The following is a 20,021-nucleotide window of genomic DNA, read 5'->3' as shown; positions in this document are numbered from 1 at the left end:
TTTCTCCATGGAGTCATGCCAGCCTCCTAGTGAGTTCTGATGAGAGAACCTGAATACCTTGATTGCCAGTGAAGGTTTCACATGCTTATTATGTTTTTTTGTGATAGATCCTCCAAACACACTGTTTTTAGTCAGCCATCTTGGCCCTGCCCCCTTGAAGTCTATTTTATCTTATATTTGTGTAGTCACAAATGTGACTATCTTTTATTATCCTTTCACTTTCATCCTGTGTGTCTTTAGATCTAAAGTGAGTCCCTTGTAGATAGCATAAAAGTGGAATTTTTTTTGTTTTTATTCACTCAGCCAATCTATCTTTTTTTTTTTTTTTTAATAGACAGGGTCAGGGTCTTGCTGAGTCACCCAGGCTGGAGTGCAGTGGTACAAACATAATTCATTACAGCCTCAAACTCCTAGGCTCAAGTGATTCTCCTGCCTTAGCTACCCAAATATCTGGGACTACAGGTGCATGCCATCATGCCAGCTAAGTTTGAGAAAATTTTTTAGAGACTGGGTTTCAGGCTGGTCTTGATCTCCTGGCCTAAAGTGATCCTTGCATCTCGATCTTCCAAAGTGTGGGGATTATAGGTGGAAGCCACTGTGCTTGGTCCAATCTATGCCTTTTAATAGGGAAGTGTAATCCATTTGTACTTAAGGTAATTGCTGATAGGAAAAGGCTTATTATTGCCATTTTGTTCATTGTTTTCTGTTATTCCATGGGATTTTGTCCCTTCTTTTCTCTATTGCTGCCTTCCTTTGTGTCTTATTGATTTTTCTATAGTGATTTTTATTTCCTTTCCATTTCCATTTAAGTTTGGCTATGATTGCAATTACATAAAACACTTTAAATTATAGCATTCCATCTTAAACTTATAACAAATTAACTTTAATTACATACAAAACTTCTATCTCTTTACAGCTCCGCTCTTCCAATTTATGTTACCATTTTTACAAATTACATTTCTATATACTGTGTACCCATTAACATACAATTGTAGTTTTTAAAATGCTTTTGTCATTTAAATTATTTGTATCAAAATTGCAATAGTACAGGTTACTATATTTGTTCATGATTTTATCTTTATGGGAGAACCTTATATTTTCCTACAGCTTTGTGTTATTGTCTACCGTTTTTTGTTTGTTTGTTTGTTTCAACTTGATTTAGTTGCTTCACCATTTCTTGCAGAGCATGTCTAGTGGTAATATCTGTCAGGTTTTGTTTCTCTGCAGAAAATCTTGATTTATCTTTCAATTTTGAAGGATTATTTAGCTGGATACAGTAATCTTGGTCAACAATTGTTGTTTGCCCCAGTACTTTAAAAATATCATCCCACTGTCTTTTAGCCTGCAAAGTTTCTGCTGAGAAATCCACAGAGAGTCGTATTGAGATTCCCTTGTATGTGACAAATCATTTTTCTCTTGCTGTTTTCAAGATTCTCTCTTTTGCCTTTGATTTTAGACTGTTTTATTTCACTGACAGTTCATTTCTTTCCTCAGATTTGGGAAGTTTTTAGTCATTGTTTCTTTAAATACTGTATCTCACCCTTTACTCCCTCTTCTAATTCTAGGATTCCCGTAATGTGTATATTGGCCCCGTTGATAGTAACTCATAAGTCCCAAGGCTCTTTTTTCTTTTCTTCATTCTTTTTTCTTTATGTGCCTCTAATTTGATGATTTCAAATGACCTATTTTCAAGTTAACTGATTCTTCTGCTTTATCAAATCTGCTGCTGAAATTTTCTAATAAATTTTTCAGTTCAATTTCTGTATTTTTCAGCTCCAGAATATTTGCTTGGAGCTTTGTAATAGCTTCTGTCTCTTTGTTGATATTCTCATTTTGTTCATGCAGTTTTCCTGTTTCCATTTAGTTGTCTATCTGTGATCTTCTTTTTTAAAGTTCATTGAATGTCTTGAATATCTCTATGATGACTATTTCAAATTCTTTATGAGGCAGCTCATAGATCTGTATTTCTTAGGGTTGGTTTCTTAGGTTTTATTTTGTTCCTTTGTGTGGTCAAATTTCTTCTTTCTTTGTATGTATTGTAATTTTTTCCTGGGATTTGCTCATTTGAAAAATGACCACCAGTCCCAGTCTTTGCATACTGACCTTGTGCAAAGAAAGATTTTCACCAGTTGGGCTAACTGGAGGTTCTAATCCTCTCAAACTTTTTATGATTTTTTGCTCACCCTGGCATTTGCCTGCAGAACTGCAGCATGTTACTTACTTCTGTTTTCAGTGGCTTTTATACTCTGACACTGGTTGCATCTGAGTCAGGTGAGATAGAAACCAGTCTCTTGGCTAGAGATATGGTTTGGATTTGTGTTCCTGCCCAAATCTCATGTCCAATTGTAGTCCCCAGTGTTGGAGGTGGGGCCTGGTGGGAGGTGATTGAATTATGGGTGGATTTCCACCTTTGATCCTGTTCTCAGGATAGAGTTCTCATGAGATCTGATTGTTTAAAAGCATGTGGCACTTCCTACCTCTATCTCTTCTTCCTGCCCCAGGCATGTGAATTGGTCACTCCCCCGTCACCTCTAACCATGTTTGTAAAGTTCCTGAGACCTCCCAAGGAGCTGAGCAGATACCAGCATTATGTTCCCTGTATAGCCTGTGTAGCCATGAGCCAATTAAACTTTTCTTTATTAATTACCTGGACTCAGGTATTTCTTTATAGCAGTGTGAGAATGGACTAATACAGGCAGTCCCCAATAAGCCAGAGCATTAGATTCAAGGTGCACCCTTTTGTTTCCATTCTAAGAAAGGACCATGGTATAAGAGGTTTTCTTCTAATTGTTTTTGCACTAGCTATGCAGAGAAAGGGGCATAAATGGGCATGACAAATGCTACAAATTTTTTAACCCTTTCACTGGATTTCATCTTGATTTTACAGTGGCCTGGGCACTGTAGCCTTTTGACTGACCTCTAGAATTCTTATGGAGGTATTCTGGTTCATCTATTGTTGTTACTCAGTGTCTCTGTGAGGAAAAGAGAGCGTAACTTCCTAGTCTTTCATCTTGCTGACATTACTCTGAATTTGTTCTTAAAATAATATTTTTAAATTATTCATCATAATCCATTTGTAGATATAAAAATTAGTGGGTAGTTACCAATGATTTTTAATGAAAGAATAGATATGATTAGAATAAAAATATCAGAGAGGATTTCCTGTTGTAAGGCTAAGTACATTATTATTTTGTAATATTCTTAATAGGTGTGTATATGTGTGTGTTTACATGCACATGCACATAGTTTGTACTGGATTAAAATGTTTCTAATGGTAGATCACAAATGAGAAATTTAAAACCCACTATCTTCCAATATAAACTAGTTGGTTTATCTGAAATTCAAACTTAACTTCACATTTCATATGAAGGGTATTTTCTACCTTTGTTAATGCAGGCTCTCCTCTTTTGTTCACATGACTAACTGAAACTAACTGCTTTCACCCTTAATCTTCTCCAATCTTTCCTAAACACTACTGTCAATATGCTTTTTCTGGAATATGATTTTGGTTTTTTGATCCCCTGATTGAAATACATTAATATCCACAGCATTTTCTTCAATGTGTTCTATGAATTTGACAAGTAGCATCATCATTCCTTCTTTGCTGTTCCCTCTCTCTGGTGACCTTATTGAACTTCTGTTTCTCCAACATTCTTTTGTTCATTGTGCTCCAGTGCCCACTCCTTCTCTGTTTGTGGAGCAGGCCAATCTCTTACCTGCTGTAAGGACTTTGCACTTACTGTTTCCTGCAGTATCCTAGCTTTTCTTATGGTCATTCTCATCCTTCATATCTCACGTCAGGCTTTCTACCCTCAGTGAGATAGCCTAGACTTACGATTGACAGAGGTATTAGGCTGATTCAAAAGTAATTTGGTAATTGCTTTTAATGGCAAAAACTGCAATTACTTTTGCAGCAACCTAATAACAAATAAAAATACAAAACACGAAGTTAAGTTTGAATTTCAAATGAACTAGGTATTTGACATTTGCACAGCTTTCATATTCCCCATCCCCACATCTCCCCAGTCTTGGTTGGGTATTGACTCCATGAGTGTTAACATATGTATAGATTCAATGCTCCTTTTATTTAAAAATAAATTATAAGTCACTTCTCTTTTATGATTATAGGTGTGCTTCATTAATATAATGTTTTTTAAATTTATTGAGATGTGTTGTTTGATCTTTAACACTTAAAATATTAATAATGTTTAATATTTAATTGTAATAGTTCAAAATATACCAACTAATAGCACACTACAATTCTTAAAAATGTATATATGTTTCATAAAATGTGTAACATATTAAATGTATACTTGTGAGTAGAATTTCTACTCATTACTCCAATAATTGCTTTCTGCAAGCACTTTGTATCACATACACCACACTGCATTAAAAGTTTCATTTCTATCTCTGTTACCAGTGTAAAGAAAGAATTTTTTCTTATTCATCTTTCTTTACTTAACTTAGTACTTAACATATCTGACCTACAGTAGATTCTCAGTTAAAAAGCTGAATTGAATTACTCTATTTTACTAGCCTTCACAATAAGTAAAAGGAATACATTAGTATAACAGTGGAAATAAACAAAATATATGTAGGAAAATTTTGCAAAAAAAATCAAAACAAAAATAGAATATGGTGGAGAAAAATTTTTTAAGTCAAAATGACATAAAATTTTGCTATAGGTTGTTTATTATAATATTATAAACAAGTTAAATGGAATTATAATCAGCTACACATGTAATTTGAGAAATGGTGTAGATAATATTTCTATGTTTTAAATGAAACAAAGCAGTTGATAAAATGATATACATATTCAATATACAAATACATATACCGTATGTACCTGGAGGATATACATCAAAATATCACCTCAGGTTGGTGAAATTTTAGGAGTTTCTTTATAGTCTTTTTTTATTAGTCCTATTTTATGAATTTTATATCATGAAACATATATTGCTATGTAATAAGAAAAATTATCAATTTTCAAAAATTGAAGCTGAAATATCAACTTTTGCAGCACAAAAGATGGTAGAACTCCCAAAGGAAAAAGAAAAGTCAGGAAAAAATGTAGATATAAATGGAAAGTTAATGAGTTCTTATTTTTGCTTTTTCTCCCTCTTTCTATTATGAAATATTTTTAGCATACAGAAATAATGTTTCCATCTCAACAGCCAAAGAAAGATTTTCTTATTTAAAAATAAACTCAAATCAGGGATGTTCAACAGCAATTTAGACCTTTAATACTTTTTTTGTTTTTAAAAAAAGGAGGGGTGGGGGAGAGCAATTTAAAATGGAGAACAACCTGAGAATCACCCTCATGTGATAGGTCAAAACAAGAAGCAAATGTAGAAAAAGAAATAGATTATTTTCAGGCTAAGCAGTTTGCTTAGTCACTTTTTATATATTGACTCATCTGGTCTTCAAGCTAATCCTATGAAGTAGATATTACATCTAATTCACCGGTGTTGAGACAGGTTCACCGTGGTTAAGGGGCAGCAGCTCCTGTGATTGTTTATAGTAGTAGAAGAAATATCAGAGGGAGAAATATTATCTACTACCATCCAGTGAACAATAATATGTGCAAAGACAGTGCCAGAGCTTTGAATGTATTTGCTTTAATACATTTAATGAAATTAATAAAATGTTTAAATAAAAGCCTGTAGTGGAAGAAGAGAATTGAAAATAGGATCTTAAGGAACAGCCCATTTTGGGGGATAGGAAAAAGAGGAGTCCGAAAAGTAAAGGACCTGATGGTTGAAAAGTAAAAGACAAACCAAACAAATGCCAGAGTTTTCATGAAAAAGGAACTGATGTAAACTGCAATAAGATTGAGGAAGATGCAGCTGAAATTGTTAATGATTAAATCTTGGACTTTCCCAAACTACAGTGTTGGTTGTCTCCACCCTCTATCTTGATCATTCTTATAAACTTCTGGGTCCTGGCTAAAAATGATTCTCTCATTCATTTGGGCTCAAAATGTTTATTTATACTCAGCAATGTCTTTTTTCTCATGACATATCTGGCAAAGTAAGAATAACTCTTTTCTACTTTGCAACATCCAGTTATAACTTTTATATAGATGAAATATGATACTTTAGGTAACTGGTCATCATATTATTGTACCTACTTATACAGCCTTATCAAATCGTTCTGAAATGTAGCTACAAAACTGCATACTTTGCTTCACTGAAGAGCTTAGTTGTGACTATGTCATCCTTATCCAAATCATTATAACAACTATAAAATTAGACATGTTCGGTACCAATCCAATGAAATCTCACTGGCAATATTTAACCAGCAAAGAAATATTATTCATGTTTTACATACCCAATGTTTAACATTACATTTCCTCTAATCCATACTGAATCTGTTAAAAGAAGTACAATATTGGGTGTTGATATGGTTTGGCTGTGTCCCCATTCAAATCTCAACTTCAATTGTATCTCCCAGAATTTCCACGTGTTGTGGGAGGGACTCAAGAGGAGGTAGTTGAATCATGAGGGCTGGTCTTTCCCGTGCTATTCTTGTGATAGTGAGTAAGTCTCACTAGATCTGATGGGTTTATCAGAGACTTCCGCTTTTGCTTCTTACTCATTCTCTCTTGCTGCCGCCATGTAAGAAGTGTCTTTTGCCCTCCACCATAATTATGAGACCCCCCCAGCCATGTGGAAGTGTAAGTCAAATTAAACCTCCTTTTCTTTCCAGTCTCAGTTATGTCTTTATCAGCAACATAAAAATGGACTAACACAGGCGTGATCTGGAAAAAGCTTTTCAAAAGTATAAATAATTTTCACATAACAATTGAAAGAAAATTGGTAAGTTCTTACCTATTGCACATTGGACATGGTAACTAAGAGACATTTCCTTTTTAGTTTTTCTCAATGGTCCTTGCTGATTGAGATATCTAATAATCCTATCCTTTATTATCATTGTCTCATGCTTTGTTCATGACTGCTTTTCAGAGATTTCCATGGAATGATATCATTCTTTATGTTGATTAAATGGCAGCCCATGTAACTTGATTCTCCTAGCCTGCCTCACTCCAGAGGATTTCCAAAGTTAATGCTTTCAGAGTTACTTAGAGTTTAAAGCCTTTTCTTCCCTCTGGGGCCTCAAACTGTTGTCAGAGTATGCAAACTACAGCTAAACTATCTCAACAATTTTCAAACCTATCAGGTCTTTTCCAATTTGGGAGATAACTTCTTGGTAATTAACTCACCTTCCACCAGACTTCCTATCTCTTGTAGTTCCTGATTCTATGCCTCTTGTGTATGAATCAAGTAACATGTTCTTGGATTCTTATCAAAGACAGCCCCATCACCCTCAAGGACTTGCTGAACTACTCTCCAGCATTGCTAGTAAGCTCCTGAAAACCAAGGTCCCTCAATGCTAAGCTTCAGTTTCCTCACAGACCATTTTCCACAATCTCCCTCAAGAGCCAGATCATTGTTTCCTCTTTTAAAACTCTCAAAGATACACAAAGCTGGACGTTAGTTAAAGTGTTGAAAATATTGTATTCTCTAACTACTGACAGTAAGGAAAAGAGCTAAGCTTCATTCCAATTTGCTGAAAGATGATATGGAATTTTAAAGGGAGAATGGGGTGTAGGGAGGGAGAAGAAGAGGGGACTCAATTGAAAAATTACAAAGTGTTGGTCAGTACAAATGTGATTAGGGAAGCTCTGTCTGCTAGTTGTCAATTATGGAAGTTAGGATTCTATCCTCCCCCAGAGACTGTGAGACAGAGGCCCTGTCTTTCCCAATGATTATATTTCAAAGGAATGGCTTTCGGATCCTTAGAAAGACACTCTTGAGTTGTAGGAGATACATATACATCTCAAAAGGACAGTGGAAAATTCAATATTGTAAGCCCCTTTCAGCAAATGCTAAGAAAGAGAGGTCAGGGACCTATGGTCAGGTATTGCCTAAAACAAACACTAACTTCTTTTGACAGCCTTGAGATTTTCAGACAGACTGAAACTTGAAATGGGGGCTAGGTTGTTCCAGCAAAGTGGCCTTAAGCTACCGGAAGTTGTGTTAAAATTTGGTCAAGTCTCTTAGTGTAGGGGTTCAAATGGGATATTCATGCAGAGAGTTTTTGCAGTTGTCAAAGCAAGCCATTCAAGGAATATCTATCCCTAGAAAGTGCTGTCCTTCATTTGTCTCTGCATTCACAAGTTGGAGAACAGTGAGAATGGTCTTCAAAGCCTATTGTTCTAGGAAAGCATATTTCTGAAGGAGCAGAGAATCCTGCTATCCTTTAGAATGTACACCCAGATTTTGAAACAGCTGATTTCATATTCTTTTATAAAAACTTAAAATTAATTATCAGTAATATTTTATCTGGGAATAGTGAGAAAGCATTACCGAACCAACCAGTAGAGAAAGGAAATCCAATGCAGAGGGCTTATAGATGACCAAAGTGACAGAAGATGCTTTGATTTGTATCTGTAGTTGCCAGGATAATAAATCTTAACATTTATCTTAACAACCCTAACATTTTGGTTGATTTCTTTTCAAGAAGCCATTTATCATTTGTACCTGTTATCTACCAAATTTTCTTTTAGCACATGCTTGCCAACAGTTTAGTGTAATGTCTAATTCTGAAGTGTTGGGATTCAGCTGGTGTCATCTGAGTCCCACACACTACCTTGGCCATAATATAACATGGGCGATCTATTAACCATTCGTATTCAGAGTTAGGGGTCATAGGAAATATGTGGTAGGCTATGACTCTTTTAATACTCTATAATGCAAGAAATTAAACTTGTCCTTTTTCATTTCTTCAAAGGCTGGGTTTAAATTAAATCTTAACCAGAAAATTAATATAAAGCTGATAAAATGTGGAACAGTTCTGGCAAAAATTGAAGGAGATATCCAGATCCTACTTACTCATCAACAGAGAACACCCCTCTCCCTATGGAAATCCATCATACAATTCTGTAAACATATAAGATTCTGTAGAAAACTTTGCAAACTACTGGTTAGGTGAGAACCACTAAGTTTCACTGTGTGTAAAGGCACACGGGGCTGATACCCAGCAAGGGCAGAGACCTTCAAGCCTGGTATCCTTCCAAGGCTATGTTTTCCCAGAGAAATGCCTCCCAGGCTGCAGACCCAACATCTTTGAGGCTCTATGCCCTGAAAAGGAGCCCTGAAGTCATCTAAGGTTTCCCAGCTCTAAAAGTTTTCCTCTTTGGATTAGGCCCTTCACCTAAATTTAGTGCTGGACCATTCATAAACTTTCTCTCTATTATATTCTCTACTTGTAAATTCCTCAGTATGCAGTCATTTGTTGATTAAATAAATGTTTAAATAATGTTATAACACTGTGATAGACTCTGAATGTTTACCTTTCATATGAACATTGGAGCCTCATTTAAATATACCTGATGGCTATAATTTAATGTATTTCATACTTCAGGAACTTGGTGAACAGACTGTTCAATAGATCTTCTTTTTTGTTATTTAGTTTTTGTTTCAGAATTATAAACTTAATTCTGCAATCCAGCTAAGCATGGAAGGGAATAAGGAAAATATGGAAGCCAAAGGGACTGCAGTGAGAGCACAAAGATTCTAGGACCCTGCGAGCAAATGAGGTGGAGGGGCGCTCTCCTGAGTTGTAGAAATAATGATTTGGTGGTTAAGATAAAACACAAGTCAAATTTATTAGAGTTGTCCACAGTCAGCAATGGCGATCTTCTTGCTGGTCTTGCCATTCCTAGACTCAGAGCGCTCCATGGCCTCCACAATATTCATGCAATCTTTCACCTTGCTAACGACCACATGCTTGCCATCCAACCACTCTGTCTTGGCAGTGCAGATGAAGAACTGGGAATCATTTGTGTTGGGTACAGAATTTGCTGTGGACAAGATGCTAGACCTGTATGCGTCAAGTTGAAGTCCTCATCAAATATCTCCCCATAGATGGACCTGCCACCAGTGCTATTATGGCATGTGAACTCACTACCCTGACACATAAACCCTGGAATAATTCTTCAAAAGCAGGAACCCTTATAACAAATCCTTTCTCTCCAGTGCTCAGAGCACTACATATTTCTGCTGTCTTTGGAATTATTTCTGCAAACAGCCCGAAGGAGTTGGGGCCCAAGGGCTCACCAGGGATGGCAATGTAGAAGAATACGGTGGGGTTGACCATGGCTGGTAACAGGGGACTCTGGTTGGCCAGTGGCATCGGTAAAGCCTAGATTCTTCAATAAATCTTACATTTTAAACACAATACTACTATTTTAGAAGTACAGATGGTCACTGACTTACAATAGTTACTATTTTTCAACTTTATAATGGTGAAAAAGCAAAATGCTTTCAGCAGAAACTGTATGTTGAGTACTTATACAACCATTCTGTTTTTCACTTTCAGTATAGCATTCAATAAATTACATGAGATATCCAACAGTTTATTATAAAATAGGCTTTGTGTTAGATAATTTTGTCTAACTACAGGTTAATGTAAGTTTTCTGAGCTCATTTAAGCTAGGCTAGGCTAAGTTATGATGCTCAGTAGGTTTGGTGTATTAAGTGCATTTTTGGCTTAAAGATAGAGACTTAACCCCATCAAGTAAAGGGGCATCTGTATACAAAATCAATTTTATAAAAAGTATCATGAAAGAGTAATATAGCAAAGACATAGCTTATTTTTTTTTTCAGAAAATGAAGAGATTCTATTTTAACAGTCCTGAAGATCTAATTGTTAAAGTATTCTTCATAGCTTCCCCTTACTGAATCAGAACACCAATATTCATCGCTGTTTAAAAGAGTCAAATCTGTTTTAAACAAGTTAACAAGTATTAAAGGAAACATGCATATTATTTTATATTATTTTATACAATTTGCAAGTATACAGATATTCTTATGTGGGAAATACAGCTACCACATGCCCTGCTTGTATATCAGATAGAGCTCAGAATAGTTAAAAATTCTGGTAAGTTCACTACAGTTCAAATGAAAAGGTCTAAGAGTCTTATCCAAGCAGCTGTGGTTCCTATTTGAATTTTAGCCTAGATTATTAAAACCTCAAACCACAAAATCCCCCTAGGAAATCTTGCATAAGCATTGTTCTTATTGAAAAAGCCTGGGATCAGAAAGGAAACAAGAGGTTTATGCTTTAGTTGGCTTTAAAACATCAAAAAACAAGTGGTCAATTCTCCTTCAGATGTGTGTTCATAACCCCTTTTAGAGGCAATGAAAATTATATGTGTGGATTTGGGGAGAATACCCCCAAGTAAGCAAATTAAGAAATGCCAAGAACAACCAAAGATTTTGCTTCAAAAAAATTGGCTTAAACCACAGTTATTTAAAAAAATAATTTTATGCAATATGTCAAGTAAATATATTCATCTGTGATAGAATTTCTGTGACCAATTTGCAGGAAATATTTTTAAAATACCTTAACCATATTTCTTTTCTGATTTTGACTAGAAAAAATACAGTTGCTAACCTATTTTTTCAAAAGCCATTGTTTATGTTTCTCTGAATGAAGCAAATATCTCATAATTCAAAAACTGGTTATTTTTCTACCAGGGCCTGATGGGTACATTTTCAATTTGCTGCTAATGACAGAGCATGTAAAATAGCCTTTTTGTGGAAAGAGCTTCTGAAACGGTAATGTTTTAGATATAGATTTTTATCACCATGAGAGGAGGTAATATTCTTGAATATCACTAAGAATGCATCTGATAGACAGTATTAATTTAGCAGAGGACGTAAGGAAGGGAGGAATGGACAGGGGAGTCATTATTTTTGAGGAAGTGGGTAGGGAGTTCTGCCGAAAATACTCCTCACTGTATCCAAACCACAAAGGTTTACTAAACAGAAATTTAAATCAAAAGGCAAACAGGATGTTCATCTGGGACACATATTTGGACACATACTTTTAATACCACATAAAAGCTGCACCAGCCAGATGTGAAAGCAATGAAATTTAAACAAAAAAGCAAACAATAAAGTAAGAAGTGAAATTGGATGATAGCCCTCAACATAGAGCACTTCCTCAGTGAAGTGACTGGATCACAGACGGTGCAATTGACTCTGAGGAAGAGGTGGGGCAGGTTCTGCAGGCCTGTGTTTTCTCACAATGGAAGAAGTAAAATAGCAATCTGGTTTCAGGAAACAGTGAGCTTTGGCAGCCTCTGCTTTCTGGTTTCTTACATTATCTATTTTAGACTGAAGTGGAAACTTATTAAAGCCAGCACTTTAATATCAGATCAGCTGCAGGAAGGAAAACAGAGAAAAAAGTGTTGGTACATATTGTACCCTGAACATCATGAAGCAAGAAATGAATAACAATTTCTATGAGCTATCTAAGGCTAGTCATTCTATCACAAATACAGAATGATAATGTCATGACTACTCAGAACACTTAAGAATTTGGAACTAGCAAAGTCTTGTTAAGACAAGAAAAATAGGAGAGGTGATAGTAACATGAAACTGTTGTATTTTTCACACAGTTGGAAGAGAAATTTTTAGGGTATCATTTATTTATTTCCAATATTCTTAATTTTAATATTTTAAAACTACAAATGAGAGGTAGTTAGGCAGCTATAAAAGTCATTACTTCAGTTTCATGTGTCCTAAAATAGCAAATTTTGAGCATTTAAATTCTCCATACTTTTTTTAAGTAAATAAAATTCTCATAGTCCCAAGCCCAATGTAACAGTCTCTGGGTCTCTTCTCCAAGTTGTGATCAACCCTGACAGATTCTATCTACCAAATTTCCAAATAAGGTGTCTGTTACATCTGAATTTTTATATTGAACATAACAGTCTAAAATATGTATAGGCCATTTTTAATTTTTCCCTCTGATAAGTTTTGGAAATCAGGAATTAAAACTACTAAGTGTTTGATTGCTTCAACATTTCTTTTCTTTAAGCTTTATTCTGCTATATTCTTAAACTTAAGTTGAAAAATTCTTAAAGTAAATGTTAGAAGTTATTTTTTTATATTGACCCAATCAGATGTTTAATATCCTGTGAAAGGAAGAAATATGTTTGGGAAAGGATCAATATAAGACATAATTATTTTAGAGAAGCTGATTATTGATATTCAGTGTTAAATAATATTAGAAGTAATTGAAGTTTGCATTATTTCTCTAAAAATTATTGCTTGTTTTGTATAACTTTTATTTATTTTTGACATATTTTTGCTTTTCTAAATAAAATAGAGATTGAGCTGCCATGGTTTGTAAAACAACCATAACCATAAAGTACTTTAAAACAGAGCAGTGAATGAATACTGATTTAAACCCAAGATAAACATGGTTGCATTTTCCTTTATTTTCCATTTCATTAAAATGAATATATAACATTGCTATTCATTTTCATTCATTCAGTTGATTTATCATGTATTTTTCTCATAACAATTTGTTGGTCATTTTTTGGAACCCAAATTATTTAAGATATCATAGGTTTTATTTTCCTTTAATGCTTTTAAGCTTTGCCTTTCAAAAGTTAATGTATTTATTTGTTCTCAAAATTCAGAAGTTTATAGCAAGTCTTGTCATATTAAACAGGTTGAAGAGGCACCTGCAGTCATTTTATACTGATGCATAACATATTGCCACAAACTTAGCAAGTTTTAAAACATCACGTATTATCTTAAAGTCACTGTGGATCATTAAGTACAGGCTCACTTTTACTGTATCATTGGCTCAAACTCACAAGGATGAGAAAATTAAGGTGAGTGCCAGGCTACATTCCTTTCTGAAGCTAAGGGTCTATTCCAAGCTCACATGAGTACTGGAAGAAATCAACTCCTTGTGGTTGTACGACTGACTTCACCATTTTCTTGCTGGCTAGAAACTGGGGCTACTCTCAGCTTCCAGACCACCAAGGTTCCCTGTCAGGTGATGCTCTCACAGGCCCTCTCATAACATGGCATATTAGTTTTTCAAAGCCAGCAAGGGAGACACTCTGGCTCTAGTCTGCTAAAAGAAGTCTTATAAAGCATAGTACAAACATGGGAGTGATATCCTATCACCTTTGCCATATTCTTTTGACAAAAAAACAAATCATAGGCCCTTCCCTCACTCAAAGGGAAGAAATTACATGAGGCATAACACCAGGATGGAGATCATCAGGGCATGTTTTCAAATCCTGTCTATGTCATATAGTAATCTCCATAGGTTTACTAATTTTAAAAGACATGCTTATGAGAAAATATTTTAGACATTCAAAATATTACTATAAATCTGGGAGATGTTTACTTTCCTTTACACATGGAAGTTATTTGTATCTTAATTTTAATTTGATATTATTCAATATAATTAACTACATGGCACATTTAAAGAATGAAAAACACAGATACAATTTGGCTCCCTATAAAATCAAAATGCCACACTCAAAAATTTGCTTCAAATCATTTATTACATTTCATAATAAGATACTTTTGCTATAAAATAATATATTATAGCTTTCCTCCTTTGTACTATTTTGAAATTCACTTCTTTGTAGCATTTTGTTTAAAAAGATTGAGACTTTTCTAATTTCTTTTTCCATTTCTCCTTTCAACAAATATATATTGAGTCTCCTCTACATTTTATGCTTTTTATTAAGTCCTGAGAATGTAAACTAAAGAACAGTGAAGAGTTGTTACACGTCTGCTAATTACTAGCAGTTTAACATTCAACAAATTGCTTAACCCCTCGGAACCTTAGTTTACTCAACTTTCAAATAAATATATATATCTCTCTCTGATGTCATTTAATTTGGTAAAATAATATTTAGTTTCTACAATAGTCCAGTCATCATGGAAGTCCTGAATATCCTGAGATAAAAGATATAGCAAATGCCTTTTGAAAGTCTGTTTAGTGAGTAAGACAGAGTTAACACTGTTACCACTAGGAAGAACACAAAAAAAGACATGGGAAGAGGTAAAATCTGAGATGAATTTTGATGGATCAGTTAAAGTAAGCCAATGGTGTTAGATGAATTTAATAGTAAACACAAACAGGTGCATGAGATAGCATGTGTATTAGGGGAACTGCAAATAAATAAGTTAGATGAAATGTGGTATGTAGACACAGAGTTGTATGGTAATAAAGTATCTAGATAAGCACAGGCCAGATCACACAGGTCTGGCTGAGAAGCTCACACTGAACCCTGAAAGTAATGAGACACATAAAGATGTTAAGCGAGGAGTAAAACAATTACCTTTATGCTTTGGAAAGCTTACTGTGCATGATGTAGGAAACGTAGAAAGGAAACCCCATGCAGATGAATTAGGAAGGCTATTGCAGGAAGCAGGACAAAGGGATAAAAACAGGGCTGGTAGAGATGGTAAGGATGGGATAGCCGTGAGACATGAAAGCCAGAGTGTATCTAGGACTTCATGGCTAACTGGAGAAGTGACTTGAGGAAAACAAAATTAATCAGTATTATCTAATAATAGAAATGGAGGGGCAAGAGAAGTTTGGAGAAAAAAGGGAAGATGAGCTTAATGTGGGGAATATTAGTTTGAACTTGAGATACCTTTGGAACATATTTCCAGCAGATAATACGATATGTGATTCTAGATCTTAGGAGAAATCTGTACAATAAGGTATAAATTAGGGGTTTATCAATGTTTCTGTATCTAGAATATTTATAGGTTTATCCAGGGAAAGTAAAAAATGTAAAAGGAAAATGAGACTGTGAATTTTAAAAGGTCTCTAAGGTGTGTCAGAGGAAATAGAATAAATAAAGGACCCTAAGAAACACTGGACAGAGTTGTGGGTAAAAAGCAGGACACAAAAATATCGCAGAAACTGCACAGCTAAAGAGAATCAAGAAAGAAGTAAGGAATCACATACCAAATGCATAGGAGATAGAGTCAGAATAAAGACCAGAAAAGAGACTATTGATAACACCTGTGGTGACTTTGACAAGAAGCAGTTACAGGGAACATTAGGAAAGGAAGCCATAGATCAGTGGAGTGGGAAGTGGAAGATAGGGGATGGAATGGGAAAGCAAAAGTAAGCCGTGCTTTCAACATGTCTAGCAATGGCAAGAAGGATAGGAAATAGCATAGTTTTTTATGCAGAAATGAGATAGGTGGAAAGCATTCTCAATGTATGTTCATGGGGTTTGTGATTTACTTATGCACTATAAAAACAGGCAACAAAAGGGGAGGTATGAAATATTAACGTATGAGCTTTGAGGCTGGAATGCCTGGGTTTTAATCCCAGGTCTACCACTTACTGGTTAATATTGGGCAAATTACTGAATCTCCATATACCTCAGTTTCCTCACCTGTAAAATGTAGGTAATAATGGTATCTATTTTATTAATATTGCCAATGTTAATTATTTGCAGTAAATAATACATGTGATGTGCTTAAACCAGTGTATAGTACATAGTAAGCATTGGATACATTTGACTCTTACTAGCTATAGTTCCTAGCTACCTAAGATGAGCTTAAATGGAAAAGGAATTTTTAAAACATTCTAGGTGGCTCCTAAAATATGGTTACTTCAACAACAACACTCTGCCATGACTACTCAGCATTAGTAATGATAATGAAGTCTGCACTGATGTTAGAGACCCACACACAGTTCATGCCAACAAAAGCAGGGCCTGATGTCAGAAGCTCTGTCACAACTGCCTCCAAAAAACCAGATGCTACTGCTGCTGTGTTTGTGGCACTTTGCTCACTTTTGTGTTTGAGCACATCTGAGAAGAATCTGCACCTCAGTAACAAGGAAACCTGGCAGAATCAACTCTGGCTTCCTTAGGCTGTGCTAGAAATGTGACAAGCACTCCAAATACAAGACGGGTATTCCACAGATATTTAATATCCAAAAATATTTGATAAATACCCAGTGTCTCACCCCATGGGTTAATGGAGGCAAAAGTTTAACTGAAACTTGCCACATTAACCTCAGTCTTAGGTAACCTAAACAGTTTCTTTTTATATAAAGTAGTCTTATGGATAAAGAAAGTTGTTTCCCATCAACACTGTTTTCTACTTCCCTTCATTCTTCTGAAGATAGCATTTAGGCTGGGAGAAAACATATCCCTCATGCAGTTGGGCAAAAGCATCCCTCTGGCCTCCTGCTGGCTACTAACATGCTGATTACCAATAGAGAGAGCCTGGGCTGGTCTTTGATATGGCAGGAACCTGCATATGGAACCTGCATATGCATCTCCTCCCAGATTCTAAACAGGAAGTGATATCAACCTTGCCCTTTTCTGTGCATTTTTTTCCTACTTAGTAACATGGGTCATGTTTGGAACTGTGGCCTACAGAGGGGCAACCAGGATGTGCAGGTCTCACCATAAACTTCGTCCACCCCTGACCTGGTAATAGGACTGGAAAGATTTCCCACCTCCCCTTATGACACACCTACTTCATGACATCCCTTGACTTTTCATCCCTGGTAATTAGAAAATACCTACAACGTAGGGTGGTAAGGCAAATACTTAATACATCAGTGGGAGGTAAATTGTTTTAGGGTTTTTTTTTCCCTCCCAGCCAAGCCTGGCTTTCAAAACTTTTGGTCATGCTGTAGACTCAAATATTTTATTCTGAAGTCAAAAGCCGAACAGTGATGGCCTCTGACTCAATCAGGTCCAGAGTCAACAATTCCAATTCTCCCAAAGTCAAACAGTTGACTCTGGCAGGATGAGGGGAAAGTCCTCCTCAGGAAATGCAAAAAAGAACACTCATCTCTTTTTAAAATATTGCTATGGTTGTACATGGAAGAAACTTAGCATGTTTATATATCAAGAGTAAAAGACAAGTAGATAGAAGGAGCTTAAGTCATACCAGAGGAAGCCAATTTGTAGGTTGTAGTGACCATGGTGGAGGGTCGAGTATCAAAGCACAGTTAAAAGGATCTGTCTTCAAAGAAGAGAGAGCTCCTCCACTGAAACAGAAGAGAAAGGCGAGAGGTTTTGAATCATAAACCATTGCTAGACTCCCTCCCGCTCTCAAAATTTTCTGATTCTGTTTTTTTAAATTTATTTTGTAATGGTTAAATGACTCTAACAATGAGTGAATTATAATGTTAAAAATGTGAATGCTGTGTAAGATGATTTGAAACAGCTAAAGATGGGAAGAATGAGGAGCTATAATATACAACAGAGTTACTTTAAATGGAATGCTATTGCTGTAAGGAAACTTCTCATCCTTCTGTGATCCTCCCTTCAAACAAATTTAACTCATTTTATTAGAAAAATAATAAGCCTGTCCATTTGCGGCACCAGTACAAGTGTCTTATTGTTTTTGTTCCAGATGAGAACATTAGCCAGACCCAAAGTCACCAAGTGGCCTATTCTCTGCATTAACTGGTTTGGGTTTTAACCAGGACAGATGCCTTGTCTTGTATAATATTTTCTTTCACTGTTTCCTTTTATTATGTTTCCTCTAATGCATTTTATTATTCAACTTTAGAGATGGAATATGGCAACCAGATTTTAGAGTATTAGCTCATTCAATAGGAAATGTATATTCCTGTTTCAAAACGAGCATCTGTCTGTTCTCAGGAATTTTAAATAATAACAATAGAACAACTACAGAGCAGCTTAAGATAGGAAATGAAAACCACCACTGTGTTCTGGAATACTTGGAAGGACACTCTAGGCAGAATGTAATTAAGTAGTTGGAATTTGTGGTTTAGGCCACCAGGGTTAAAACTATGCCTCCTGAACAAAGTGCTTTAGATTTTTCAAAGATCAGAAAGTTTGGTGCCATGTAGAATAATCAGAGGATCCTCCCTCCAGGCATCTCTACCATAAATACTGATACTTTGTGTCTTACTGTAGACCGTTCGCTCAGCTAAAGCCAAAAAGGAGAAAATATGTCTTCCTCGGACAAGAGAGAAGACTGAAGAGAGTCCTCTTTGTCTCTCATTCCAGGACAGATACTGCAGTTCCTAGGACAGCCATCTCTCCATCTCATCTGCTTAGCTGAGAAAAACAAGCTCACCATATTGTACATATCTCTGGTGGGAAGATATAAAAGTGAGAATAGCAACATGGAAAGAAACCTTGCTGGAGAACCATTTTCCCAATGCAACTATATTTCCTGCTTATCCCAGGGCCACATCACCAAAAATATACATTGTGAGATGGATCATATAAAAGTATTATAAAATAAAACAAGGGTTATCTCTCAAATACCCAAGGGAAAAATTAATGCTAATATTGTGGTATTACTATATATTTTAGGCTGAATAGTGGCCTCCAAAGTAACCAGATCCTAATCCCTGAAAACGGTGAATGTGACTTTATTTAACTAAAGAGATTTGTAGATGTAATTAAGTTAAGGATCTTGAAATGGGAAATTATCCTGGATTATCCAGATGGGCCATAAATGGCATTACAAGTATCTTTATAAAGGTAGATAGAAAGAGATTTGACTACAGACAAAAGAGAAGGAGGCTATATAATTGAAGCCAAAGGAAGCAGAGTCAGAGACTGAAAAATCTTTGCCACTGGCTTTGCAGATCTGAGGAGAGGCTACAATCCAAGGAATGCAGGGAGCCTGTAGAAACTGGAAAAAGCAGACAAATGAATTCTCTCCCAGAGCTTCCAGAGGGAATGTGGTGCTGGTGACACCTTGAGTTCAGAAATTCAGTGACCTTCAGAACTGTAAGAGAATAAGTTTATGATGGTTTAAGCTGTACAATTTGTGGTAATTTATTACAGCAATCACCAGAAACCAGTATACTCTTTATGACAGTGATCTCTAAGTACAGTAGAATAAATATGTTGGCAGCTCCATAAATCACTTAACCCAAGTTTGAATATTATCACTGTATTCCATAAAATGATGTCCCTGCTTATGCCATAGGATGCTTCAGAATAGAGAAGAAAATTTATATGACAGTGTTATTTAATATAAAATATTATTACCTTCAGAATAGCTTAATCTGAATTTTAAACAAAAACATCCCTGATTGAAATTGCCTTTCAGGAAATTGAGAAGAAAAATCCTCAAGATGGTAAAAACAAAGTCAAAACAAATGAATTTTAAAATCCTGTGTATTCCAAACTAATGCTATGGAAACTTCTCTTTCACCTG

General features: G+C 35.5%; 1 long non-coding RNA gene and 1 pseudogene across 1 annotated transcript in view; one reads left to right on the top strand and one right to left on the bottom strand.

Moving 5' to 3' along the window:
* Positions 1 to 20,021, top strand: part of LOC105377407 (uncharacterized) — a 218,744-nt gene that overhangs the window by 179,522 nt on the left and 19,201 nt on the right. Inside the window, exon 3 of the long non-coding RNA XR_939176.3 lies at positions 19,444 to 19,588. This is a non-coding gene — a long non-coding RNA (uncharacterized LOC105377407). The remainder of the gene's footprint in view (positions 1 to 19,443; positions 19,589 to 20,021) is intronic.
* PPIAP76 (peptidylprolyl isomerase A pseudogene 76) lies at positions 9,669 to 10,197 on the bottom strand (annotated as a pseudogene).

Source organism: Homo sapiens, chromosome 4, assembly GCF_000001405.40.
Source record: "Homo sapiens chromosome 4, GRCh38.p14 Primary Assembly".
NCBI lineage: Eukaryota > Metazoa > Chordata > Mammalia > Primates > Hominidae > Homo > Homo sapiens.
The sequence above is the reverse complement of the archived record's forward strand: the minus strand, read 5'-3'. Positions and strand labels throughout refer to the sequence as shown.